This window comes from Homo sapiens, chromosome 16, assembly GCF_000001405.40.
Source record: "Homo sapiens chromosome 16, GRCh38.p14 Primary Assembly".
In the NCBI taxonomy this organism is placed as follows: Eukaryota; Metazoa; Chordata; class Mammalia; order Primates; family Hominidae; genus Homo; species Homo sapiens.
The window spans coordinates 31848344-31875971 of NC_000016.10; the positions used below are offsets into that span (position 1 = coordinate 31848344).

General features: G+C 42.7%; 1 protein-coding gene and 1 pseudogene across 3 annotated transcripts in view, besides 4 other annotated features; both read left to right on the forward strand.

Annotated features, from left to right (window-relative positions):
* Nucleotides 11141-11230: a silencer, noted in NCBI's record as "silent region_7427". NCBI's record gives its function as "represses an Ori minimal core promoter by ATAC-STARR-seq in GM12878 lymphoblastoid cells {active_cell/tissue: GM12878}" and the evidence as "EXISTENCE:reporter gene assay evidence [ECO:0000049][PMID:35858748]".
* Nucleotides 15193-16446, forward strand: RBM22P13 (RNA binding motif protein 22 pseudogene 13; annotated as a pseudogene).
* Nucleotides 25285-25579: an enhancer, noted in NCBI's record as "tiled region #3948; HepG2 Activating DNase unmatched - State 1:Tss, and K562 Activating DNase matched - State 1:Tss". NCBI's record gives its function as "activates a minimal TATA promoter and a strong SV40 promoter by Sharpr-MPRA in HepG2 and K562 cells {active_cell/tissue: HepG2 | K562}" and the evidence as "EXISTENCE:reporter gene assay evidence [ECO:0000049][PMID:27701403]".
* ZNF267 (zinc finger protein 267) overlaps nt 25464-27628 on the forward strand; it is a 43551-nt gene continuing 41386 nt past the window's right edge. For 2 of the 3 annotated variants that reach the window (NR_049749.2, NM_003414.6), the window contains exon 1: nt 25464-25626. Coding sequence is in view for 1 of the 3 variants with exons in the window: in NM_003414.6 (NP_003405.4) it covers nt 25624-25626 (3 nt within the window). In the remaining 2 variants the exon portion in view is untranslated. Of the gene's footprint in view, nt 25627-26808; nt 26960-27628 lie in introns of all 3 variants that reach the window. The other variant, NM_001265588.2, reaches the window with a different exon arrangement.
* Nucleotides 25466-25515: a silencer, noted in NCBI's record as "silent region_7428". NCBI's record gives its function as "represses an Ori minimal core promoter by ATAC-STARR-seq in GM12878 lymphoblastoid cells {active_cell/tissue: GM12878}" and the evidence as "EXISTENCE:reporter gene assay evidence [ECO:0000049][PMID:35858748]".
* Nucleotides 25666-25745: a silencer, noted in NCBI's record as "silent region_7429". NCBI's record gives its function as "represses an Ori minimal core promoter by ATAC-STARR-seq in GM12878 lymphoblastoid cells {active_cell/tissue: GM12878}" and the evidence as "EXISTENCE:reporter gene assay evidence [ECO:0000049][PMID:35858748]".

Sequence of the window (27628 nt, forward strand, 5' to 3'; positions counted from 1 at the left end):
CTTACTTTGTGCTAATAACTCTTCGTTAAGCCCTATCCTATGTAGCTTTAGACATTCTCACAGGCACATAGTACATTCTATGTCTTCGTACCTTAACCAAGACATCTGTGCTGGACGTGCTCACTGGCATGTCCCAGCTCACAACCTATGCCCCTTCCTTAGTTGGGAACGTTATTAATTTTCTAAGTCCTTTTATAAGCAACTTCCTCTTTTCCTTTGTCTTTCCATTGCTTTTACCTATTTAGAAAAGTTTTAAGTTATTTGCCAATTGGGTTTTAGCTTAAATTGTGAGGTCTGGCTCCAGTCAATGAAGATAGGACACAGTAGCAGGGACAAGCTGCATAAAGGATAAAAATTGCTTCCCTCCTTTGTTCAGGTGTGCTCTTGCCATTGTTCCATCTGTGAGGAGCACCCTTTCTGCAGAAAGTAAAATTGCCTTGCTAAGAAAACTTTTTGTCTGAATGCTGATTTTTCCTTGCAGTACTGAGGAACAAGCATTCTGTTTCTAAATAAACATTTTACATGTAACAAAATGGTGGCCCATACATTCTCCTCTGGGGTCGGTCTCTAGTCCTCTCTCATGAGGAGGGGCCCCACTGCCTCATTGCGGTGGCCTTATGGGTAAGGAATCAAAACCCACCCAGCATGACAAATAAACCCAGACTCTCAGCAGTGCAGAAAGAAACCAGTTGGCAACCTGGAGTAAAGGATCCTTACATACCATGTAGACTGGGCGACCTTGTGCATGAGCCAAACAACGAAAACACTGGAGGAGCAGTTAAAGTATTTCCTTGGTGGTCAGAACTAAGGAAAAAAAGCCGTGGGGTGGTAAAGCATTCCTTGGTTAAAGCACACCAAGGTAAAAGAAATTGCAGGGGCGGTAAAGCATGCCTTAGTCAAGACAGAGGAAAGAAAAGCTGCGGGGCTGGGGGGCGGTGAAAAAATCCTTAGTTGGGTTGTCTTAGAGGTTAAAAAAAGGGGTGAAAAATCCCCATTGGGGGAGATTAAAGATCACACAAACCTCCGGTAGTAAACAAATATATTCAAAACTTCCCTTTCCCTTCTTCTTGGGGGAAGAAAAACGCTAAGCTCCACACCCACTGGCTGCTCCCTAGGGGAAGGGGAAAGAGAGGGGAAAATAGCAGCATGGGCAGCTGGCAGAGGCAGGGAAAGACCAGCAGACAGAGAAAGAGAAGGGCAGATACAAAAAGCAAAAATCTGTTGGCAAGTTCCAAAGTTTTCTAAAAGAGGTAAAAGGAAAAAGTCAGGGAATTCAGGAATGCAAAAAGAAAGAAGGCAAGGTCAGTACTTTAAAGGAGAAGGTAAAAATAAATGGTGTAAGGGCTGTGGATATAAAAGTAAGGAGGAAAAACAAGGGGACCCTCTGGCCCAGGGTTAATAACTCATGCAACTTATGGCAGGCATCTGCTGAGCCTCTAGGCTGACAGTGGCCCAGGGCACGGACTGCAGCCATGAAGATCCCACCCAACAAGTAAGTGTGAGAGAAAGAGGAAACAGGAGGTGACAGAGAGAAGGAGAAAACGCAAATGAAGGAGAGAGATAGAAGGAAAAAATAAGTAAAAAAAAAAAAAGACTGGAAAAAACAAAGATAAAAAAACACAAAAAATAAAACTAGGGAAAAAATAGTGTAAAAAAAGTCTAAAAGTTTATCTAAAAGTTAAGGCATGTCAAAAATTGTAAAAGTCCTAAAAAATTTTATAAAAGGGAATTTATGCAAAAAATTATATAATTTAAAAATAATTAAGCCTCCTAAATGTAAAACTATTAAAGAAGCAACTTGTGTGCAAGGTATATAAGGAAAGTAAAATATACTTTTAGAAAAAAATTATAAGAAAACATAAGAATGTGAATTTTTACCTACATTAACATTTTTTAAATAGATGCTAAAGAAAATTCAGAAGGAAAATAAATATTGCTAAACCAAAATTAAAAAAATGTTATCCAAACCCCTTATTAAAAAAATCTTGTTCCAACTGCATCAAAAAACCCACTGGGGCTCTCCAGCACAGGTTTAATACCAACAAGTTTCCACCTCCAGCGGCTCCTACAGAGGCTGCAGTGAGAGCCTGCGAGGGCGTGGGGGGGACAAACACTACAGGTGCAAGGGAGGGGGCCAAACAACTGTCAGACAGCACAGCCCAGCCCAGCCCAAGGCCAGGGGCTAGACAGTGGGGTCTCTGGCAGGAGCAAGGTCTGGGGGCAGTGCGGTAAGTCACAAGGACCCTCATCCCCACAAGGCCGCAATGCATGGTAGCAGTAAAGGCCGCAGGGAAGCCGGGACCTTAAGAGGGGCCAGGGCCACAGCATCCCCTAGGCTACATTGAACGGGAATGAAGCGGGAGGCGTCACCGTGGGGCTTCGGGCCCCAGGATATGCAAAGTTCTAACTTTCTGAGGGACCCCAAATTTTCCCTCAAAAACAACATAAGTAAAAATTAAAAAAGGAAATTTAAGTCAAAAACTACCTATAGGTTGCCTTACTTACATTCCACGGCTGATATCCGCACATTTAAAACAACAACAAAAAAATCAGTTTCTCAAAAATTACATACTTATTTTCCACTTTCCTTTTCCTCAAAACTAAAAGTCTTCTAGCACAGGTGCCACTCTTAAAATTTCCAGTAAACCAGCACCAGCCTGGAAACCATGTCCTTATCAAAGGATAAAAAGAAGAAAAACTCAAGCCAGCCTAAGAAAAACCCTACCTTGTGCTGCTAACCCACCAAGACTGCGGTTCCCACAGCAGAAGAGAATGAACACCACATACCCGAGTCAAAAAAGCGTCATCACCGTCAAAGTCATAGGCCGTTGTTCCAGGGTTAAGCCCTACCAAGTTAAAGCTATAAAAACGTAATCTATCTATCTTTTTTCTTTTCTTCCCTTTAACTACTTCCTATCTTATTAATATAACTAAATCTAACTCACCTCAAGTTACTACTTTTAATGCCTGTTTAGTTATCACTCCTCCCAGACACAAAAACAAGACCAAAGTCTCTACAGTAAAAATAAAAAACCTAAAGCAAACAATAACAATTAAAACAGGATATCAAAATGTAAATGGCTGGTTAAAATAAATTAAATATTTCATCTGCATCTAAATAAAAGTGACCGTTAAACACGTGTGCATGGTAGGCTAGAGGCCCAGGTTGTCCCCTTTCCACTCAAATAGTCCTCTAATCAACAAAACATGGACTACATGGTAGCTCCTTTTCAAAATCCTACAGCCTGAGATAATAAACTGTGTCAAACGCTCTCGCTACTATTTCCTAAAATGCAGTACCCTGCGGGTCAGCCCCCGAGGGCCATCTAGCCTCCATCTTCCAAGACCAATTTTACCTGGTGTCTCCAACAACAAGGGAAAAATTTAGTGTTCCTTGAAAACTTAATGCAGTGAAGTCAGGCACTTCCAAGAGCTGACCCATCAATCCCCCCTTATTCATCACCAAACAGGTATGTAATAATATTGTAGAAGACCTTTACTGAACACTCTGCCAAATAATTAAAGCAATATTTGTGCTCTAGTTCAATTGGCTATCCCTTTTACCGTGGCATTTCACCAACCAGAAAAACTTTTTCTTTTAAAAACTCAAGCAAAACAGCTAAACCAAAACATGTTAAAAAATTTTAAAGAAAAAAAGCTATAAAATCAAAAGGAAGGAATTGCAGAAAGTAAAAAGTTTCCTCTTCAAAGTTTCCATTCTTGTTACAGGATAAATAAGTGTTAGAAATAATAGTTTCTTTTAAAGACTAATTTCTTTCAAGCCTCCTTACTTTGTGCTAATAACTCTTTGTTTAAGCCCTATCCTATGTAGCTGTTAAACATGCTCACAGGCACATAGTACATTCTATGTCCTTGTGCCTTAACGGAAATACCTGTCCTGGATGTGCTCACAGGCATGTCCCAGCTCACAGCCTGTCACTTCCTTATTTAGGAATGTTATTACTTTTCTAAGTCCTTTCATAAACAACTTCCTCTTTTCATTTATCTTTCCATTGCTTTTACCTGTTTAAAAAATTTTAAGTTATTAGCCAATCAGGTTTTAATTTAAATTATGAAGTCTGTCTCCAGCCAATAAAAACAGGACACAAGAGCAGGGACAAGCTACATAAAAAATAAAAATTGCTTCCCTCCCTTGTTCAAATGTGCTCTTGCCATTGTTCCATCTGCAAGGAGCACCCTTTCTGCAGAAAGTAAAATTTCCTTGCTAAAAAAACCTTTTTGTCTAAATGCTAATTTTTCCTTACATGACCGAAAAACAAGCATTCTGTTTCTAAATAAACGTCTTACCTATAACATATACCATTACAAAATTACAAATATCCTTTCGAACATCTGTAAATTTATGTGCTCATGATATTAAAATTTATATTTTTATCTGAAAATAGTTATAATTCAGTGAGACACAAGAACAAAATTATGAGAGAGTTATCTACATCATTGAGAAAATCCTCCTGCCACTACCAACGTAAGTCGTGATCACTCACTTTTACTAAAGCTGAGAAACATCCATTTGCCCAGCGGAGTCCTGGAGTGAGTCTGTGTGTGTGGATGGTGGTCCCTGAGACTTGGTTATAAAGAAGGGATACTGTCAGCTCGTCTCCCTCCAGGCCCATAACTGTCATGTCACCTGTAGAAGCAGGACAGCCCTGGCCTCGAGATTATTGGAAAGGGGAGCAACAAAAGGAAAAACTGAACACATTTAATTCCTGGAAAAGATCAGTGTAGGACAGATGGGTTTCAAACTTTAACGTGTGCAAGCTTGTTTTCTTAGGTAATTTTGCCCAGGAGGGTTGTCTGGTCTCAGTTATTGCCAATAAAGTAGAAGCAATAACTATAGTTTCAAACTTTGTTTAATTTCTGTGTTGCTTTACCAAACATCCTTGCTAACTGAAGAAATTTCTGGGGGCCTTCACACATGGTCCCCAGTTGTCCCTACGTTTCAATATTACAGGTAGTCTATGTAAAACTTTTTTGGGAATGAAGAAAATGCCCCCTGCACCAGGCTTACATAGCGCTTACAGTGAAGTTGTTTCTACTTACAGGGATGTTTAACTACACAGTCAGCATGAGAGCATGTGGAATAAAATGATTAACACATTCTTAGCAACTGACAACTTTTATTTGCTTCTGAGACACCACCAACCACACCTATGTTATAACTAGTGCTAACTTTAACCTTGATCATGATTGCCACATTTGGAGTTACACTTTCTTAATCAAACATCATCTGATACTGAAGTGGTGACTTCTCATGCACTTAATCTATAGATTTTCCCCCAAGGCACCAGTTCTGAATATGTTTGAGTTCATGCTGGTGTACCTCTCATGTGCCATATCTGAGGCTCTAACAAATAAACTCTCCAGGCCGGGCACGGTGGCTCATGCCTGCAATCCCAGCCCTTTGGGAGGCCAAGGCAGGCGGATCACTTCAGGTCAGGAGTTTGAGACCAGCTGGCCAATACGGTGAAACCCCGTCTCTACTAAAAACACGGAAATTAGCCAGGCATCATGGCAGGCACCTGGAATCCCAGCTATTCAGGAAGCTGAGGCAGAAGAATCACTCAAACCCAGGAGGCAGAGGTTGCAGTGAGCTGAGATCGGGCCACTGCACTCTAGGCTGGGCAACAGAGCGAGATTCTGTCTCAAAAATTAAAATAAAATAAAATACAAAATAAACTTTCCATTCAGCTGCAGTCAGGACCACTTGATCCCCAGACTTCTACTGTCTTCAGTGACAATTCTCCCTGTCATCTTAAACCCAGCTGCCATCACTATGACGTTGGTGCTCAATCCAGTCAGTGTCCTTAGGTCTTGATTTATTTTCCTTCTCTGAAGCTTTTCAATTACTTCTTTATAAATTATTTTGTCTGATGCTCACAGAAAAAGCCTGCCTAATAAGAACCCTATACCCACAAAAACTAGCTATTAAAAATGAAGGTTAAATAAAAACATTTTATGTAAATAAAAACTGATACAATTTGTTGCTAGCCAACTGACCTTATGAAAAAATGGCAAAAGAAGTTTTTCAGGCTGAAAGCAAGTAAATCCAGACAATAATTTGAATGCATAAGAAAGACAAAGCACACACTAGCAAAACTAATTACATAATTATAAGACAGTGTAAGTGAATTTATTTATTTATTTATTTATTTGCACATGAATAAATTCTTTAGTGGCGATTTCTGAGATTTTGGTGCACCCATCTCCCAGGGGCCTAATAACAGCTCCAGAAGGCCTGCCATCACTGGTGCCCTAGCATGAGCTCCAGAGGTCTGGGACTTCCCCTGCCCTGCCCACAGCCTATGCTCATGTGCATCACTAGGAGGACTTGAGAACAGGCCCACCTCACCTGCCTCTCTCCCACCCTTAGTGGTCAAATATTCCACTTGTGGACCTGAGGACAGCATTGTACAGGTGGTAGCCTCTGGCATGAGTCCACCAGGGTCCTAAAAACAGGCCAAGAAAATGTGCAGCCAGCACTCAAGCATGCTGTCTAAAGGTCTAGGAATCTCCCATGCCATCCACCACTGCTGTCATCTGGGTACTCTTGGGGTCCTAAGGATGGGCCCACCCAGACAACCACCAGCATCCACACTCATGTGTCACCTAAGGCTCTAGGGACTGTCTGATTCAGCCCATTGCAGCCACCACAAACACTGTGAGTGCTGCCTGGAAGCCTGAAGTTGCCTCAACCCCACTACTCTCCTCATCCACACGGTACACACTGCTCAGAGGCCTGAGGACTTGCCCCATTTCCTAGCCCACTGCTGTTACTACAGACATCAGAGCAAGCCTCCTGAAGGCCTGAGAATCAACAGGCTTAGGCACACTAACACCAGTGCCCACATACACTACCCAGCAGCCCAAGGACAGACACCCTCAACCCTTTACTGCTGCCACTGTCACCATGGGGGCTGAAGGACTGGCCTATCTGGTGTTCCATTCCTACCAAAACCTCACCACAGCCTCAACTAGCAAACACAGCCTAAGCAAGGTTATACCTCATAATGAAGGAGAAATAAAGACGTTCCCAGACAAGCAAAAACTGAAGAAATTCATCACCACTAGACAAGCCCTGGAAGATTACCTAGACAGAAAATCAATAATGAAACATCAGATTTAAACTGTACTTTAGACCAGGGGTCCCCAACCGTCGGGTCACAGACCAATACCCACCCCTGGCTTGTTAGGAACCAGGAAGCTCAGCAGGAGGTGAGTGGCAGGTGAGCCAGTGAAGCTGAGCTCTACCTCCTGTCAGATCAGCAGCAGCATTAGATTGTCATAGGAGCTCAAACCCTATTGTGAACTGCACATGCCAGTGATCCAGGCTGTATGCTCCTTATGAGAATCTAATGATAAATGTAATGCACTTAAATTATCCTGAAATCATCCCCCTCCCCTAGTCCTAGGAAAAATTGTCTTCCACGAAACCAGTTCCTGGTGCCAAAAAGGTTAGGCACCGTTGCTTTAGACCAAAGGAACCTAACAGACATCTGCAGAACACTTGATCCAATGACTGCAAAACATACATTCTTCTCAGAAGCACATGGAACAGTCTTCAGGATAGACCCTCTGTTAGGCCAGAAAACGAGTCTTAACAAATGTTTAAAAATTGAAATCATATCAAGTATTTTCTCATACTACAGTGAAATAAAGCCAAAAATCAGTAGCAAAAGGAACTTTGAAAACTGTACAAATACATGAAAATTAAATGACATGCTCCAGAACAACCATTGGGTTAATACAGAAATCCAAACAAATATTTAAAAAATGAAGATGAAAACACAATATTTTGGAAACTATGAAATGCAGCAAAAGCAGTGTTGAGGGAAGTTTACAGCAGTAAATACCTACATCAAAAAAGTAGAAATATTTACAGTAAACAACCTAATGATACACCTCAAGAAACCAAAAAAGCAAGAACAAACTAAGCTCAACATAAGCATAAGGAATAATAAAAATCAGTCAAGGTGCAGTGGCTCATGCCTGTAGTCCAGCACTTTGGGAGACTGAGACAGCTGGATCACCTGAGGTCACGAGTTTGAGACCAGCCTGGCCAACGTGGTGAAACCTCTTCTCTACTAAAAAATACAAAAATTAGCCAGGTGTGGTGGAGTACACCTGTAATCCCAACTACTCAGGGGGCTGAGGCAGGAGAATTGCTTGAACCCAGGAGGCAGAGGCTGCAGTGAGCCGAGATGGCACCACTGCAGTCCAACCTGGGCAACAGAGTAAGACTCCGTCTTAAAACAAAACAAAACAAACAAACAAACAAAGAAATAATAAAAATCGGAGAAGTAAGCAAACTAGAAACTTAAAAAAATACAAAGGGCCAATGAAATAAAACTTTTTTTGAAAACATGAAACAACATTCATAAACCACTAGCTAGACAAAAAATAGAGAAAAGACCCAAATAAACAATGTCAGAAATGAAAAAGCAGACATTTCAACTGATACTGCAGAAAGAAGTATGAAAGATAATCAGAGACTCCTAAGAACAATTGCATGATAACAAACTGGAAAAATTAGAGAAAATATCTAAATTCCTGGACACATACAAACTATCACTATTGAATCAGGGAGAAATAGAAGACCCAAACAAACCAATAATGAGAAATGAGATTGATACAGTAATAAAATGTCTCTCTGCAAATAAAAGCTTGGGGCTTGATAACTTGACAGCTGAATTCTACCAAACTTATAAAGAAGAACTAATATCAATTTTTCTCAAAGTATTCAAAAAATAGAAGGGGGGGGAATTCTTTGTAACTCATTCTATGAAGCAAGCATTACCCTGATATGAAAACAATACAAGGATACAATGAAAACAGAAAGCTACAGTTTAATATGATGAATAAAGATGTTAAAATCTTCAACAAAATACTAGCAAACTGAATGCAACAGCACATCAAAAAGATAACATGCCACAATCAAGTAGGATTTATCCCAGGGATGGAAGGATGGATTTCCACACACAAACCCATAAACACAATACATCACATTAACAGAATGAAATACAAAAACCATACAATCATCTCAATAGATGCAGAAAGAGCATTTGACAAAATTTAACATCTTTTCATGATAGAAACGCTCAACAAACTAGGCCTACAGGAACATACCTCAACTTAATAAAGGCCATATATGACAAATCCACAGGTAACATTATACTAAATAAGGAAAAGCTTAAATCTTTTCTGCTAGGGACTAGAACTAAACAACGATGTTCATTTTCACTATTTCTATTCAACAAAGTACTGGAAGTCCTAGCCGAAGTAATCAGGCAAGAGAAAGAAATAAAAGGCATCTAAATAGGAAAAGTGAAAGTTTAATTGTTGCTTTGTGCAAATGACATGATCTTATATTTAGAAGAACATAAAGATGCCACCAAAAAACTATTAGATTTGATAAATATGATCAGCAAAGTTGCAGGACACAAAATCAACATACAGAAATCAGGAGCATTTCTACATAATAAGTAAGTGGCTGAAACAGAAGTCAAGGAAGCCATCTCATTTACAATAGCTACAAAATATTAAAATACCTAGTAATAAATTTAGCTGTGGTGGTGAAAGACTTCTACAAGGAGAACTAAAAAACACTGATGTAAGATACTGAAGAGTACATAAAAAAATGAAAGGACATTGCATGCCCATAGATTCCATGCCCATAATTTTTTTGTCTAGCTAGTGGTTTAGCCCATAGATCAGAAGAATTAATATTGTTAAAATGACCAAAGCAGTCTACAGATTCAATGCAATCACTATCAAAATGCCAACTTTTTCACACACAAAAGAAGTCTAAAATGTGTATGGAACCAACAAAGAGCCTGGAGTCAAAGCAATCCTGAGCAAAAGAACAAAGCTGAAGACATTGTACCACCTGACTTCAAAATATCATACAAGGTCAGAGCAACCCCAAAAGCATAGTGTTGGTATAAAAATAGACACAGAGACCAATAGAGCAGAATAGAGAATTCAGAAAAAAACCACATATTTACAAGTAACTGACTTTCAACAATGGCACTAAGAACATACGTTGGGAGAAGGATACCCTCTTCAATAAATGGTATTGAAAAAACTGGATAGCTATATGCATAAGCTATTCAATTCATTTGAAGCTAGACTTCTATCAGTATATATATATATATATATATATATATCAGTATATATATATACTGATAGAAGTCTAGCTTCAAATATATATATTTATATATATATATCTCAACTCAAAAAATATATATGATATATGATATATATATCATCTCAAAATAAAAGATTGAAACACAAACCCATAACTATAACACTACTAGAATAAAACATAAGAGAAACCCTCCTGAACATTGATCTAGCCAGATATTTTATGGCTAAGACCACAAAATCACAAGCAACAAACAAATACTAGAAAATGGGACCATATTGAACTACAGAGCTTCTGCACAGCAAAGGAAGCAATCAACAGTGATGAGACAATTTGTTGAATGGGAGAAAATATTTGCAAATTATTCATGTGACACTATCAGTTATATAACTAAAAGATAGGAAAACCTATGTGTACACAAAGGCTCCCTGCAGCACTATTCATGATAGCTGAATGGGTAAACAACCGAAATATCAACCAGTGAGAATAAGGAAAAACAATACACCATGGAACACTACATAGCCGTAAAAAAGAATGAGTTCATGTCCTTTGCAGGGACATAGATGAAGCTGGAAACCATCATCCTCAGCAAACTAACACAGGAACAGAAAACCAAACACCGTATGTTCTCACTCATAAGTGGGAATTGAGCAATGAGAACTCATGGACACAGGGAGGGGAACATCACACACCAGGGCCTGTCAGGGGGTTGGGGGCAAGAATAGGGAAAGCGTTAGAATAAATACTGTGGGAGGCAAGCCACCCAGGTGCCAAGGCAGGAGACCGAAGGCACAAGTTGTTCCAGTATAATAAAGAAAATAATTAGAATAAGAATAGTTATATTAGAAATAGAATATAGACATGATTATATATGAATATTATTAATCATTAGTTTGTAGCATTACTCTTTTATTAATAACTTCTGTCCTACAATTATAACTTAGAAAAACCAGTCCATACAGAGTCAGGAGCTGAAGGGACATGATGAGAAGAAGTGACCAGAAGGCGAGTGTGAGCCCTCTGTCACGCCTGCACAGGGCCACTAGAGGGCTCCTTGGTCTAGCGGTAACGCCAGTACCTGAGAAAGCACCTGTTACTTAGCAGACCTTGGTCTAGCGGTAGCGCCAGTGCCTGGGAAGGCAGGCAAACTTTACTTAGCAGACCGGGAAAGGGAGTCTCCCTTTCCCTGGGGGATTTAGAGAACACTCTGCTATACCACCTCTTGTGGAAGGCCTGACAGCAGTCAGGCCCTCCCGCAGCCATACGAAGGCCTAAACATCTCCCTGTGATGCTGTGCTTTAGCGGTCACGCTCCTGGTCCACTTTCATGTTCCGCTCTGTACACACGGCTCTGCCTTTTAGATAGCAGTAGCAGAATTAGTGAAAATATTAAAGTCTTTCCAAGAAATGCATAGAAGAAATAATGACATAAGCTGTCCCCTCTCTCTCTCCACCTTGGCTACCAAATAGGGAAGGGCCCCCTGTCTGGTGAACACATGACTCGCATGACCTTACCTATCATAGGGGATGACTCACACTTCTAACCCTGCCCCCTTTCCTTGTATACAATAAATAGCAGCGCGGCCAGGCATTCGGGGCCACTACTGGTCTCTGCGTCTTGGTGATAGTGCTCCCCCGGGCCCAGCTGTCTTTTCTTCTATTTCTTTGTCTCATATCTTTATTTCTGTGATCTCTTGTCTCCACACACAAAGAGAAAACTCACAGGTCCTGTAGGGCTGGACCCTACAAAATACATAATGCATGCAGGGCTTAAAACCTAGATGACGGGTGGATAGGTGCAGCCAACCACCATGGCACATGTATGCCTATGTAACAAACCTGCACACTCTGCACATGTATCCCAGAACTTAAAGTAAAATAAAAACCATACATATATATGTTTTTACAATGAAATATATTCAGCAATCAAAACTGAGGCACGTAATGACACATGGTACAAGAGGAGTAAACTTTTCAAAAAGCTAAGAAGAAAGCAGAAGCCGGAGACCTTATACTGTAGAATTCCAATCATAAGACATGTCCAGAAAAGGCAAATCTCTAGAGACAGAATATAAACTAATGGTGTCTAGGGCTGGAAGAAAATGAAGAGTGACTACAAATAGCACAAAGTCTTTTTAGAGATGAACAAAAATAAATTCGACTGAGATTATAATTGCATAACTCAGCAAATACACTATGAGGCATGCAATATATACTTAAAATATGACATTGTGGCTCATCAGGCTGTGTTCTGAGCACAGGACTCCAGCGAGGTGCCTAAAGTCCCATAAATATATTCCAGGAGTCCAGAGAGCAGTGGCTGTTTTATTTATAGTATTTTTGAGTATAGCATTTTTAGTGTGTGATCAAGATATTACGTTATATACAGAAATTATCATAGTTGAAAATCTTACCATTTTTCCTTAAAGCATCAAATACAATTTATAAAACACAAAAGGGAAAGAAAGCCTATGGTGCTGTCTGCATTTCATCCTGGCATAGGTGAAACTCTAGCCTCTCATTTGGCTTTTGGTGGCATACGTGGGCAGGCAGCCATGGTTTTTCAGTGGTTTTGGCTGTAGTAGGGCAGTCACTGGATAAAAGTTTTCTGGTTTTATTTTTTTGCCTTTGCCTATTGGTGTATCTGAGTTGCCAGTTTCTTTAGCTCCAAGACTACAGTATATGGGCAAAGAAACCCGTGTTTCACCCCACTCTGTTATCACATCTTTCTTCGGTTCACGAACAGTATGCTTGCTTTCTTCCACCTTTTAGAGCTTTCTCCATTTGGTTTCATGTATAATGTCCAGGGATTTTAGTTGTACTTATTGGGAAGAATAGAGACATGTATGTCTAGTCTGTCTTCCCCAGAACTGAAATGCTTGGTTGTGAATGGATTAAACTGAGCTATCTCTAATTTGCCCATTATCCAAGCAGAAATATCAAGTTACTGATATTAGTTCCCATCTGAGGCTCTACTCCAGGTGGTGGCATCCCTTCCTGGGCACTGGGGCCTTGGCTGAGGCAGCAGGGAGAGATGCTGCCACTCAGGTCTTCAGCTCCCCTCTAGCATAGTGATGTCACTACCTGTGGTGGGGAATATGATTAACAACAAAGTCTCTTGCCAACTCAGGAAATCTCTCCGGAAAGATAGAAGAGAAAGAAAACAGTTTCATTGAAGAATCATTAAACGGCATTGTGATGCACAAAACAGATAATAACCTAGCACATTGCAAGAAAGAAGGAAATCTCACCCTTGTGCATAGCCAGGCAGCTACAACCAGTGCATGCGTGTTCCCGAGATAAACAGTAACCAGTCCTCAGGGAAGGGACTTGACAGCACTGTTTTTACATGTCCCTCAAGGGTACCCACTGTGTTCACTAATCACATTTATGACAAGAAAAGACCAGTGTCTCATAGTTTATGGCAGGAGTAGGTTAGTAAGTTAGAGCCAGGCACTGGCGGAAGCTGGGCTCCTACCCTCTCATGGGAACTTGCTCCCTTAATGATTCCATTTTAGAGAGATGGCTCCCAGGCCCTTGAGAAAGACAGTCCTGGTTGGAAGTTGGTAAGCGGCTTACTTAACTTTTGGAGACTTCCATACGTCACAAGGGGACAGAGAAGAAACTCATAGGGACAAGTTTTCTTTTAAAAATGCTCTGAAAGAAAAAGGCAGGGTTCCTTTTTCCTCTTTCACTGGGACAAATTTGTTTAATTGGTGATTACCCTTGTATCTGCCAATGGTTCAGTGACCCCCCATCTTCTACTCTCCAGTCTTACCTCAGTTCAGCCACTCCCTCCTGCTCTCTGGTACTCAGCCCTGTGCCTTCCAGCCACCTTTCTCCTTATATCATCAATCCTGTTTCCTAAACTCAGGGATTTCCATGCTCTGTCGGGATCCTGCCTCACTGCACTGCCTCCTGGACGCTCTCTGCAGGCTCTGAGTTGGGGCAGCCAGGGGGTCCCCTCCCTTGGATTCAGCCTCCAGGCCACTGTCCTGTGCCCCTATCAGATACTTTCTAGCATCTGGACACATTTAGGTCACATAGTGGATCTGGCTTTCTACTTGTTTGATGCTGGAGGGAGTCTGGATCTTGTTCTTTCACATACATAGAAGGCAAAGCTCAAAACTGATTTTGAAATTCTTTGTTATTAATTTTGGACTGAGATAAATTCTCTATTACTTTATAGTGACACATATATCGTAGCTCAAAGTTTAGTAGTTAGAATTTTAGATTATTATTTTCAGTACTGTGATTTCCCGTATTTAATCAACTTATAGGAAAGGCATGATAAAGAGATTATCTCATGTTTGAATACCCTTTTCTTTAATTTTTGGATTAGCTCTCTTCCCCCACCAACTCGCAATCTTTCTGCTCTAACCACAGGCACTTTTGGCAGCCATGAATTCTTATTCTGGGCAACAGGAGTGGCTCCACAGATGATGAGTCTATGGCCTGTTATACATGGAGCTCTTGCAAGCAAGTCCTGGTGACCACAAGGTGACCCAAGGCCCCTTCTCAGGCCAGATCGCTATGCCTGAAACAAAGGAAGAACCCTTCAGGGGAAGGAATATTTAGCCTGAAAATTCTTTTGTTCACTCACTTTTCAGGTGTCTTTATCCATTATTGAGCATCATAAATATCCAGATGCACAGATGCTTCCTGATATGTCCATGAGTTTAAAGATTGGACATTACTTCGCCCAGCAATCCTCGTTTTCAAACTTGCCAAGTAAGGTTTTATCATCTCCCACCAACAGAAACAAGGTCATGCTTAGGCCTTGGTGGCATAGAGGGAGGGTCTCTGAAAGTCACTCAAATATACACTCTGAGTAGTTTCAAGGTGTATTCACTTTTCTCTGTCCCTTGTAGGCCAGTCCTTGGAGAGACTAGGAAATCCAGAGTTTCCTACAAGAATGGGGATTCCTTGGAAGAGAGTTTCACCTTGAATCAAGAAAGAGGAATCACATACTTTCAAAGGAAATTTCTCATGATCTCAAGATCTCAAGAACCAGGGGCAGAAGGAAAAGCTGGGCTGACACAATGGTGGTGGTCCTGTCTCCATTCAAAAAGCTACCACTGCCTCTAGACCCTCTCAGGATGGCAACATTTCCTGATTCCAATCCTAAAATAGGCAAAGTTGGGAGGATGCAAACTTCTCCATTCTGTGTCAGACATGTCTTAGGGAAAACCCAAATATGAATAACCAAAGAAAAGTATGAGAAAAAAATTGAAAATCTATTCTAGGCTATTCACAGTGTTTTGCTGGTATCCTGGGATCCACATGCATTTCAAGAAGACTGAAGTGTGCCAGGCCTGCAGGACAATGAAGAGTGAATGTCTTAGTCCTAGACTATGGCCTGTCCATTCAGGTTCATGATACAGAATTGTCTTTAAAAGATGACTTGCCAGAGTCAGACATCAATGAAGAGTACTACATGCAGAATATAGACAAGCAATTGTGGACTCTGATGGAACATGGTAAGTTGGCCTGCTGGAGAGAGTCACATATACCAGTGACACGCTGCTCAAACTGGCGCAGACCACATGCTACTACCAAAGGAATACGCACATTTGCTCCTTCTGAGTGAAAGGAGAATGTGAGGGAGAAGAGGAGGGTCCATACAGACATGAGAAGCCTACAGATCCAGACGATCCCCTTGCTGATAAGAATATTAAAGACTGAATCCAATATTATGGAATCAATGACCCCGGAGCAGATAAGCCTCTAAAGCAGGCTTCACCATACCTTGTCTGGATCCACCAGAGGACAAGGTTATCACCACACTCTGTGTTGGTGATCTCGGTGATGCCATTACTGAGACAGATCTAAATAATCATTTCTAATTATTTGACGATCTGAATGATCACTGTTGTGCAGACAGTAGAGTGCTTTCCATCCAGGTTTCCACAGGGCAGGCTGCAGAAGTGGCTGCTGAGAAATCCTTTAATAAGTTGATTGTCAAGGGCTGCAGACTCGGTAGAAAACGGAGAGGATCCCAAGCAGCCAGAGGGAAAGAAAAAGGACAGAACCACAGGTTGGGATCCAGCTAACGCCTATTCCAGCACTGCCAGGAACAGGAACTCTTCCTCCTCCTGCAGCAGCAGCAGCAGATGTATCTGCCAACCACAGCAACATACCCCCACGTGCTCCTCCAGCTGTGGTGAGCATTGCCTGGCCACCAGCCCCTGGCATGTCCTGCTGCTCCCCCCAGGATTTCAGCCACCCATGTTCCATCCAATGGGACCATTGCCTTCCTTTTGAGAGGACTCTAGGATCAATCCATTGTGTTGGATCCTGTGTTGGACTCCAGGATCAATCCATCTCAGGACCCCCAGAGGATGGGAGCTTGTTCTGGAAATCACAGCAGCCCCTGTCATATTTTCACCACCCTGTGGTTCTATGGAAGAAGCATCACTTTAAAATCTCAATTAATGAACATTGGAGGAAATATTTTTTTCTTTCTTTGTGGTTCCCAGTGCACCTGAATGTGGTCACATATGGGCATGCTTTTTCATATGGATTCAAAGGATCAATGGAGCTCAAATAAGCTGTCATTAAAACATCTGTTTACTATGACTGTAACATGACTAATAAAACCTACTGCCTGTTCCTCTCACCTCTATGGGGGATGAGTGGCTGAGTGAGTTACAGAATGTCCAATGGAGTTAGCAGTCCAATCATATAATCATTTTGTCTCTTTTTATGACTGTGGAAATAGACCTGAGGGGAAAAAAAACCTTTTGAACATGTTTGTGTCCATGGGGTATTTTCCATTTTATTACCTTAAAAAAGGATCACTGGTACTAATTGTTGTAGTGGTGTGTGTGATTTAACTCTTGTGAAGCCACACCCTCAGAAAAACAGGTAGAAACCACTTCCCATCACAGCCCAGATCTTTTCTTTCCTGTCTTTTCCTCATGTATGACCAAAGAAATCTGAGTAGTAGTTTTACTTCCATATACACCAAAAAAAAAAAAAAAAAAAGACAAAATAGAATGTCTTTTTACTTCTATCAGCCAGATGAAAACAGACTTCTTGGAGCATTCTATCATGAAATTAGAAATCATTTTTATTTACATGAAAATTATGGAAACAATTTTCATTAGGTTTGATGAATTTCCCTAAGCTCGAAAGCTAAACACAAGCATTTCCTGACATATCATCAAGAAGAGAAATAGCCTGAAACACATTTGAAAAACACATTAGTATAGAACCCATGCACCCCTCCAGAGTCTATCTTAAGAAGAGCTCCTCAGTCACACACTAGTCCTCTGCCCCAGGCCCCAAGTCGTCCATGAAGCTCTCCTCATTATCTCAGGGGAAAAAGTTCCCTGGGCATTGGACCCTCTGGGGGTCAGCTTCCCAGCCCTGGTGGTGCATCAGAGCCCCCTGGGGGCTTCAGGCCTGCTGATGCCTGGGCCCTAAGCTGGGTCACCCCATCAGAATCTCTGGGATGGGACCTCACAGGATGGTGAAACCCTCTGTAGGGAGTTCTAATCTGCACCTTGCTGTGAATCCCACTTACTGAAGTCCTCGCCTCCCTGTGGTACATTAAGATGAGGAAAGACAAAGGTCACCCCTGCCCTTAGAGCAGCTCATGACAAAGAGAATTCTGTTCTTCTAAGGCTATGGATGTCAACCCAGGCTGCATGTGAATATTACACAGGGAGATTTTCACAAACGCGATGGCCTGCTCCAATAGAACGTGTTTCTTAGAACTGTTTCTCCGCATTTCTTGGGATGAGTTTATCAAAACCATTTTACTTCTTTGTAGATGCCAGTTTGACACATCTTTCTCTTGAACAAGTTTTGTCATTAATATATACACACTCCCACCTTATTTTTCACTTTTCGAACTCAGAGAGATATAGAAAAAATAAATCGAGGCCAGGCGCAGTAGCTCATGCCTGTAATCCCAGCACCTTGGGAGGCCGAGGCAGGCGGATCATGAGGTCAGGAGATCCAGCCCATCCTGGCTAACACAGTGAAACCTCGTATCTACTAAAAATACAAAAACTTAGCCAGGCGTGGTGACGGGTGCCTGTAGTCCCAGCTACTCGGGAGGCTGAAGCAGGAGAATGGCATGAACCCGGGAGACGGAGCTTGCAGTGGGCCGAGATCACGCCACTGCACTCCAGCCTAGGAGACAGAGCAAGACTCCGTCTCAAAAAAGAAAAAATAAATCAGCCGAAGTGTATTTCCTTTTCCTCACTCAACAATCAATACAGAATACTTCTGTGACCTCTGGTCACCAAAATTTATGGAGATTTCTCTATATCAACAGCCAATTCTGCAGCAGACACTGGCTGGGTGTTGTATAATTCAACTGGATTCTGACAACGTCTACCTGGAGCTTCAGGGCCCTCTCTTGGTGTGGGCACCCTACCTTCCAGGAACTGCCATGTATCCAGCTATCCAGAAGCTCTAGGAACCCCTTCATTTTGGGCTTTCCTGCAAGCTTCACTAAATAAGCATGATTGATTAAATCATTGGTTATTGGTGATTAACTTAACTTTCAGCCTCTCTGCCTCCTCAGAGGTTGCGGTGGGGCTAAGAAATGGTCCTATTAGAGTGAAATTGTATCTGCAGGCAAAAGACTGCAACATCCAGGTGATGCTTCTACATGTGAAGAGAGGATACCTGCTCCCAGGCTGCAGCACTGATCTGTGGTGCAAGAATTCTGCTGGCTTCATTTTCTGATTCTCCCCTGTTCCTCTCTGTTAAGTTTCACCACAAGCTCCACAGGCATCCCAGCCCTTCTCCTCCTTTGTCTGTGTTTTGGCTGCAGCTCTCTCAGTTGCTCTCCCCACCCCATGTCATCTCACATGGCACGTTATCATTCTGATGAGTAGTTTGAAATTATGCTAATACCATAAGAAACCGTTTTCAATGGGAGAATTCGAGGTCATTTAAAGACTTTAAATAAACCATTCTGACCACTTAAATGAGAATAGAAGAGAGTAATGTCTGTAATCCCAGGCCTGTTAGAATGTCTCTTATCAAAAAAACCAATGAAGGCAAGTGTTGGCAAGAATGTGGAGAAAAGGAAACCCTTGTACCCTATTGGTGGGAATGTAAAGTAGTACAGCCATTCTAAAAATGGTATGGAAGTTCTTCAAAAACCTAGAAATAAAAGTATCCCATGTAAAGAAAATGTGGTGCATATACACCATGGAATACTATGAAGCCATAAAAAGGAATGAGATCATGTCCTTTGCAGGGACATGGAAGGAGTTGGAAGCCATTATTTTCAGCAAACTAACACAGGAACAGAAAACCAAATACTGCATATTCTTGCATCTAAGTGGGAGCTGAACGATGAAAACATATGGACACATGGTGGGGAACAACACACACTGGGGCCTGTTGGGGGATGGGGGAGGGAGAGCATCAGGGAGAATAGCTAATGCATGCTGGGCTTAATACCTATGTGATGTGTTTATCTGTGCAGCAAACTACCATGGCACATGTTTACCTATGTAACAAACCTGCACATGCCCCACACGCACCCTGGAAGTTAAAGTAAAATTGAAGAAAAAAAACTATCCTATGATCCAGCAATTCCACTTTTGGGTATATATCCAAAAGAATTCAAATTAGGCTATTAAAGAGGGATCTGCCCTCCTGTGTTTATTTTGGCGTTATTGACAATAGTCAAGATATAGAAGAAATTTAAGTGTCCTTCAACAGATGAATGAATAAAGATGTGTATATACACAATGGAGTACTATTTAGCCTTTATAAAGAAGGAAATTATGTCATTTGTGATAACTTGGATTGAACTAGAGGGTATTATGCTAAGTTAAATAAACCAGGAACAGGAAGACATATACTGTATGATCTCACCTAGCTGTGGAATTAAAAATATTGATCTCACAGAAACAAAGAATAGAGACTAGAAAGGTAGTTACCAGAGGCTGTGTCAGGGGGAAGGGTGGGATAGGGAAAAAGAAGTAATTTATGGAAGGATACGAAGCTTTAGTTAGACTGGAGGAATAAGCGACCTATTGCACTGCACGGTGAGCACAGTTAATAATGTATTGTACATTTCAAAATTGCAAAATTAAATTTTTAATGTTCTCACTACAAAAAAAGATAAATTGGTGAGTGGATGGATACGTTAATTAGCTTGATGGAATCGTTCCATAATGTATACGTATATCAAAATGATCACATTGTATCCCATAAATACATAAAATTATTATTTGTCAGTAAAAAAGAAAAGACCGTCAGCCTGCTCTGGTTCTAGTGATATTATCTTTGATCTTCTGCCGCCACCTGGTGGCCAACTTCAGAGTGAGGAAGAAAGCAGAGGGGTGAGAAATGAAGTGACCACTTTGCCTCTGGAGCCCAAATGAGGACTTAGCTCCCGGATGTGGGTGGGAATGTATTCTTTCACAGAATTCTCCCAAATTAGGGCCTAGCCCCCAACAAAACCTTTGGCATCCTCCACGAAGTCCCCCACTCACGGCAATTGGTCTGCTGTGTGGCTGCTCTCAAAGGAGCTGAGACTGAAACCTGAGGTTGAAGAGCCACCTACTAGGTGGGAGGATTCTGGATTCCACAGGACTAAGCATTTCCTTTAGTTCAAGCAGGCAACGTTTCTCGTACTCAGTGGCAAACACACCACAGTACACACACATGCACATACGCATGCACCACAAGCACCATTTTAATCTATTTGCATGTATTTCATCCCAGGAGTGATTAGTCCTGTCCCCGATTCAATCTGGGTAATTTTTTTTTCTTCTCATGGTAATGCATGGAAATAGAGTTTCTCAGGTGTCTTTAGTGAGAGTACACACCCTGTTATTTTTTTTCTTATTTTTTTGGAATGCTGTTGCCAATTGGATTGATGTGCTGGTAGCAGGTTTCATCCAATCATTGCATGAAAGCACAGATACACCACCCACAGATGAATTAGGACTTTGTTATAGAATATATTTTTTCTTTTTAAAATAAAGCCTGTAGTCAAGTTTCTTTCTTCTTCCTTTTTTCTTCATTGTGAGGAAAGAATGTACTATGTTTCCATGAAGCGGAACTTCCATTTTGCTTCCCATAGTCTATTTGTCATCTTCCTCTCTCTCCTGTCACACCCCCTCCAGCTTGTCATGTGGCACAGTCCTTTTCTGAGCTCATGCACTTCTCAGCTTACCCTGACAATGGCAGTCATGAACACGTGAGTCAACCACTTCTAGCCTGTTGTTTTTTCCTTCAAAGCATAAGGAGGATGTCTCATTTCCTTCCTCTCAGGTTTTGTCAGCAGATAGAGCTTTACTGTAGTTTGCAGTTGCATGAGATGTGTTGCCCTCTATCCAGGGTGCAATGTGGCTTGGTATCACCCATGGACTGACCCCTTCTTGGGTTAATTTACCTATATAACTTTTCTGGAAGGGTGTGACCCTGGCAGCCTACGGAGACCCTGGGAATATCTTCCAGAGGGCCCTGGACCAGGGATGTCTGCCTGGGTGTGAGACAGACAACCTCTCACCCTCCATGTACCTCCTGGGTCAGGGCATGGAAATCTCACAGGCACCCTGCTCCAGGCAGAAGAGGAGGGGGCAGCCTTAGAGGGTGTGGGCAGTTCCCTGGCTCCTGGGGGGACTTCAAACTTATTGCAGACGGAAACCCCTTCTTCCTCATTTTCAGTCCAACCAACACACTTGGTGGCTAGAGAAACTTTACTTCCTGTTTTTATTTATATATTAAATGTTTTCTTTTCATTTTACACAAGATGTGTATTTAAACAACCAGATCCTGGATTTGAAGAAGAACATATCTGGAATCCGTTCTGTTCTTTTAATTGTCACTTAGTCCTGTGTGAGGACAGATTTGTTCTATGTGTAACCGCTACATTTAAAAAGTTATAAAATTGTTCTTAGCGTTACAATGATATATTTTTAAAAATAAAATTTTCTAATTGAACAATGTATGCAAAGGTTATTCCCCCTTTTTTTTTCCTGCCCCCAACAAACCTAAAGGATCACTATATTTTTTATACTGTTGTTGTTAAAGTCCTGGAATATAGAGATAAACAGTGAGTGAGCAGTCCCTGGTGGAGAAAGAGAGTCTTTTTCACAGAAACAGTGTTTTCCCTCAGCTGTCTTCATTGGAAATCACTCAACACCAATGACTCAATGGCCATTGGAAATCAATGATCGTTGTTCATTCAGTACAAACAAACAAGCAAACAAAAATTATCAATATGTTTGTACAGCTACGCCCGATAATTTATGTACAATAAAGGAATGAGGAACAGGAAAGTGAAGAAGAGAGAAAGGGATGCTGGACCAGTAGATGTGATGGAAACATATTGCAATTTTCTACGTGAGAATGTCTGCTTGGTCTGTAGAAACAGAGTTCTGGAGTAAAGCAGTGAGTATGTTCTCAGTAGACCCTCCTGTCTGCTTCTGGAACACATCAACTGAATCTTTGTCCTCCATTTCCAGTTCTGCAGATGTGTCTGTTTCACTGATTGGCCCCAGTCAAAATGGAATCTGATCTGTGTCATGTAGAAACTCTGCCTTTCACCAAAGGCTTTCACTCATTCACTAAGTGGTGTGCACCTCTTCAACATCAACTGCATCCTGGGACCATCCTACCTGCCACCTTCAAATTCTGCCATAGCGGAGCCTGAAGGCTCTTCAGCTGCAGCTTCACCAAAGAAGTCCAGAGTGTGCACCAAACTAGTGAGCCAGCAGCTCCCGATGCCGCAGGTGAAGGAGGCAGCAGAGCCTTACTCGCTGTTTTTATCACCATCCCTCCAGCAACAGCAGCAGCAGCAGCATCCACAACTACTATTTCTAATTGTGGTAATAATGATGATCACACTTAGAATAATGATAAATAACAGTAGTTGTAATTGCTGACATGTTTAGTTTATATATAGATTTATTATTTGTAATGTTCTATAATTTACTTTTAGTAATATACACATTAATTGTGTCATAAATATCAGGACCTCAAAACACCCCACCTAATGAGTGATTCTCACATATGGACCCATGGCTGCCCACCTGCTAGCGTGGGTCCTCTCACCACTCCACCCCCAGAGCTTCGATCTGTCTGGTCAACATTCTGGGACAATGAAGTAGTTAAGTCATATGGTCTGACTGTGGTCTTGGCAAATAGCTTGACTTGTTAGAAATCAAAGGCTGACTTTAAGACGTACTCAGCTGTTTGGCTAAATTGTGGCAGAAAAAAATGTCTTCTCAGCAGATATACCTTTGTATCTCTTGCTTTCAGAGTAAAAGATTGTTTCAGTCACAGTAGTTTGAGTTAATCTGTATTGAAAATCATCAACAGCTTACAAATACTGAAAGGGGACAAAAATAATTTGCAGACACATTGAGTCCATTATAAGTGCTTTCAAATCTCTCCTATAAGAAATGAAAAATAGAATGTTAGGCCTTGATTTCTTAAACTCAGCCTTCAGCCATTTTCCCAAATTATTCTACATGTTTCCAAGACATTTCAGAAGCATTCTCTGGTGGGGATTATTTCCAATTGTGAAGAGTACTAGAAGGATGAGAATCAAAAGGAATCTTTCTTCTATCGCAAAAGAGTCAATCTCCAGGATTTCAAAGGCCTAGGGAAGCTGCTTGAGTTGTGAGGTCCATGGAGGTGCATGGGCTTTGGAGTCAGGCAGAGTTGATCCTGAGTTCCAGCCCAGCCCCTTAGTAGGCCCTAAGGACTCCCGTGGTGCTGTCACAAGCAGTGCTGCCTTTGGGAGCCCCTAACCTCCTGTCTTTTCTCCCTTCAGTGTGGGAAAGGGGTTTGGTCAGCCAGTGGTGTCAGCAGCCCTGTCCCACACCCGTTGTCTACACCTAATCTGGTGGCAGGGAGGCCACAGAGTGCAGCGACTAGAACTGGGTGAGAGGGTGAGAGGCAGCCATGCCCCAGGCCAAGACAAGTGCATGGAATCCTGACTGTCAGCAATCAGGGATGTTTCTGCTTTGGGGAGGGAAGCATTTGTTCCACACGTCTCACTGAATAAGGCACAGAGCCTGATCTGTCCCAAGTGGGAGTTTAACCAAGCTAGATGGCGGCCGAGGGCCCTGGCCCAGTTTGACACCCACCTCCTCTCCCACCTTCTACTCAGCCAGAAGACTAGGAGAATCTACTCAGCCGGAAGACTACGAGGTGCTGCAGCGCCACTAGCTCCAAGACTCCAGAAAAACAGGAATAGGGCATTCTGGCAGGTCAAAGCAGACAGAATACTTGAGCTCAGGAGTTGGCGAACTGACTATTAACCTGTAGCCCCAGTTACTTGGGAGGCTAAGGTGGGAGGATCGCTTGAGCTCAGGAGATGGAGACCAGCCTGGGCAACATGGTGAAACCTCATCTCTACAAAAAATACAAAAATCAGCCGGGCATGGTGGCATGTGCCTGTAGTCCCAGCTACTCAGGAGGCTGAGGTGGGAAGATTGCTTGAGCCCCGGAGGCTGCAGTGAGCCATGACTGCACCACTGCACCAGCCTGGGCAATAGAGTGAGACCCTGTCTCAAAACAAAAGCAAAAACCAGAGGTAGGGCTGAGGAGTCCGTGGCCACAGAGCCTGAGCCAGCACGGCCCAGAGGAACTGAGCTCCCAGCCCTGTCGCTGCCAAGGACCCTTCTTCCCTGAGCTTGAAGGGATTGAGAAGGAGAGACAGACGGACAGTCAGCGGCCCCGTTACCAGTGATGCAGACTCCAGGAGATGCGGGCAGAGTTGTAGATTAGAAGAATAGGCCAGCCCCTCTTCCACGTTCCACCACGGCCCGCAACATCCTCCTGGGACCCCAGCCTGCATGCCCCTATAAGATGCTTTTGCACTGGTTCAGTCTATGTATCATGCGAGGGCCTAATTGAAAACACGTGAATGAAGTGTACGGCCTTCTGTTCCCAGCTGAGGGGCCCCCTCCCACGGTGGCGTTAGCAGTGGGGTACAGTGCGGTAAGAGAGGTGCTAAGGGACGGGATGAGGGTCTTTCTTGCTTTAAAGGTGTCTAAATATACTTCTTCTTAAACTTAATTAGCTAATAAGATGTCTTATACAAGCAGAACCAGGTAAGGGAAAGAGCAAGTGTATTTCAAGTCGCAGCTCACCCCTTAATTAGCTGTAATACCCGCAGCAGGCGGCCCCACCTCAATGAGCCAGTCTCCCTTTCAAAAAAAAAAAAAAAAAAGGCACTAATAATGAGGGGGCGGGGCATGGAGCTTTATCCAATCAGGGGCGCTGGAGTGGAAACCGTCCAATCAGGAGTGAAGCCGGAGAGCAGGGGCGGCTTCCGGGATTTGGCGGGGGCCTTCGTCGGCTCCAGTTAGAGCTCGGGTCTCCTCGCCACAGCTCCGAGTCTTTCGTTCTGGGAGGCCCAGGCGGCTTCGCGTTCTGAGAATAAACAGAACCTCTGTTGCTCTGCGACTTGCAGGCACTGGGAGATTCGTAGCTAAGACGCCAGGGCATCCCGGAAGCTGGGAAATGGTGAGTGTGCGGGGTCGGGGGTCCCCAGAGGGAGGGAGGGCGGTGGTCGGAAGCGGCGGGAACCCGCTGTAGGGGCACCCGGGCCTCCCCGCAGTCAGCCTCGGGGTCTGGGCCCCGAGTCCCAACTGGTGCAGCTCGGCCCTCGGTCCCCTCCGCTGCAAGATGGCGGCCAGGCCGGCAGCCGGGACCCCGCGTGTCCTGTCCCATCCCGACCCCGCAGAGCGACCTCGTCCCTGGCCGGAGCCCTCTCTGGGCAGCTCCGCGTCGCAGCCCCGCGTCTCCCCCAGATTGTGCGGTGAGGACGGGAGCGTCTCAGGGGAGACCCAGGTTCGGTGTGTGGGAAGAAACCGTGCCCTGTGGGGTCCTCAGTCACTACTCCTCTTAAGAATTAAAGGGAGTCACTGTTAAAACGTTGAAGAATTTGAGCAAATAGCGATTTGTGACATGGGAAGCCTGCAGTCCTGGTTTGTGGTTCGGAGATCCCCAGAGGGGCTTGAAGGAAAGGTTTTTATAAGGTGCATGAGGAAGCAGACCAAATTAACCGATGGGTTACAGTTTGTAGTTGCCTTATTTAGACTATGCAGGTGGAGGTGAATTGGAGCTTTGTGGTTCGTTAAGTCTGAATTTTGTTTTCCCCTAAAGTTGTAATTTACAAGAAAAGCATTTGAGTTTGGTTTTGGTTTTTCTCCCTAGAAACCTGGGGCACTATAACCACTTCCGTATAATCGCCTGCTCATTAATCATCTTAACACTGCCCAGGGGAACTGGTTTTCCCCCTGCGCTTTCCTAACGTGTAGCACGCAGAGTCTCAAGTCCACCACTGTGTTCCCCCAGTCTAACTGGGCTTGCAATAAAATATTAAATTTCCAGTTCCTTCCCGACATTTCCAAAGGCCAACTTCCCCTCTCCAGTTCACATTCTTAACTATTGGTCATTTATTGTACATTTCAGACAGTATTTTACTCATTAATCATGATTTCACAGAGCAGTGGATGACACTTTTTTAAAGATTTGTGTTTTTTTGGCATACATTTCACGTGAGAGGAAAGCAGAGAATAAAAAATCCCTGACACTCCACTGCAAAAAAAACTGTGCCTCTTTTTCATTCATCTTCCCCAGGCACAGACACGTTATCGGAAAGAATGTCTTTTGACTTGAGGTTTTGCTTTGGAAACTTTACAGGGCCCTGTATAGCCACCCTCTATCCAGTCTTTTCCTGTTCCTGAATTTCAGAACTGTCTGGGATGACTCAAGATGCCCACAGTGGCCATGTCTCCTGGAGTGTTTAGTGACTGTCAGCCCCAGGTCACCTCCTGTTAGAGGACCGCCCAAGGTATGGAAATGTAGTCCCTCAGGGGAGCAGCTGGATGCCCTGGGGCTGAGAGAAATCTCCTGGGACACCCTTAACCTAAAAAGATAACCCCTTGGGACATAAGGATTTTATTTCTTCAAAGCTAGTTTTCATCCCTTGGAGACACATTGCTGGTCAGCCAATCGTTTGCTGGTATTGAGGGGAAACAGTCACAAATGATTCCTGCCCCCTAGATTCATTCAGATTTGTGAAGGGAGAAAAACTCCCAAAGGACCAAAAAACAAAAACCCCACCCCAGTGAGGTGGTGCAAACTCGGCTGCGGTGTCCATGGGGCACAGTGCAGGATCTGGGAGGATGGTCCCTGAGCATTTTAATGAGCAGTATTGGGGTAGGAGAATGTCTCAAATGATACCGTGACCTGACTTGACACTTGAGCCAGATATGTCTGTATTCCAACAGCATTACCACTCCCTGAGTTTGCTGCCTTAGATTGTTCATTTATTTCTACTTCAGTTTTTCAGTTAGTGTAAATTTCATCAGTAGAGCTTGAAAGATAAAAAACATTTCCAAGGCCATGAAAGGTGGATTTCAGAAAATTAAAATATCAAGTCATACTTCATTGTTAAAAATTCTTACTATCTTTTTTTTCAGCAGAATGAGTGTAGTAAGTTTCTCAGGTTTGTTCTTTT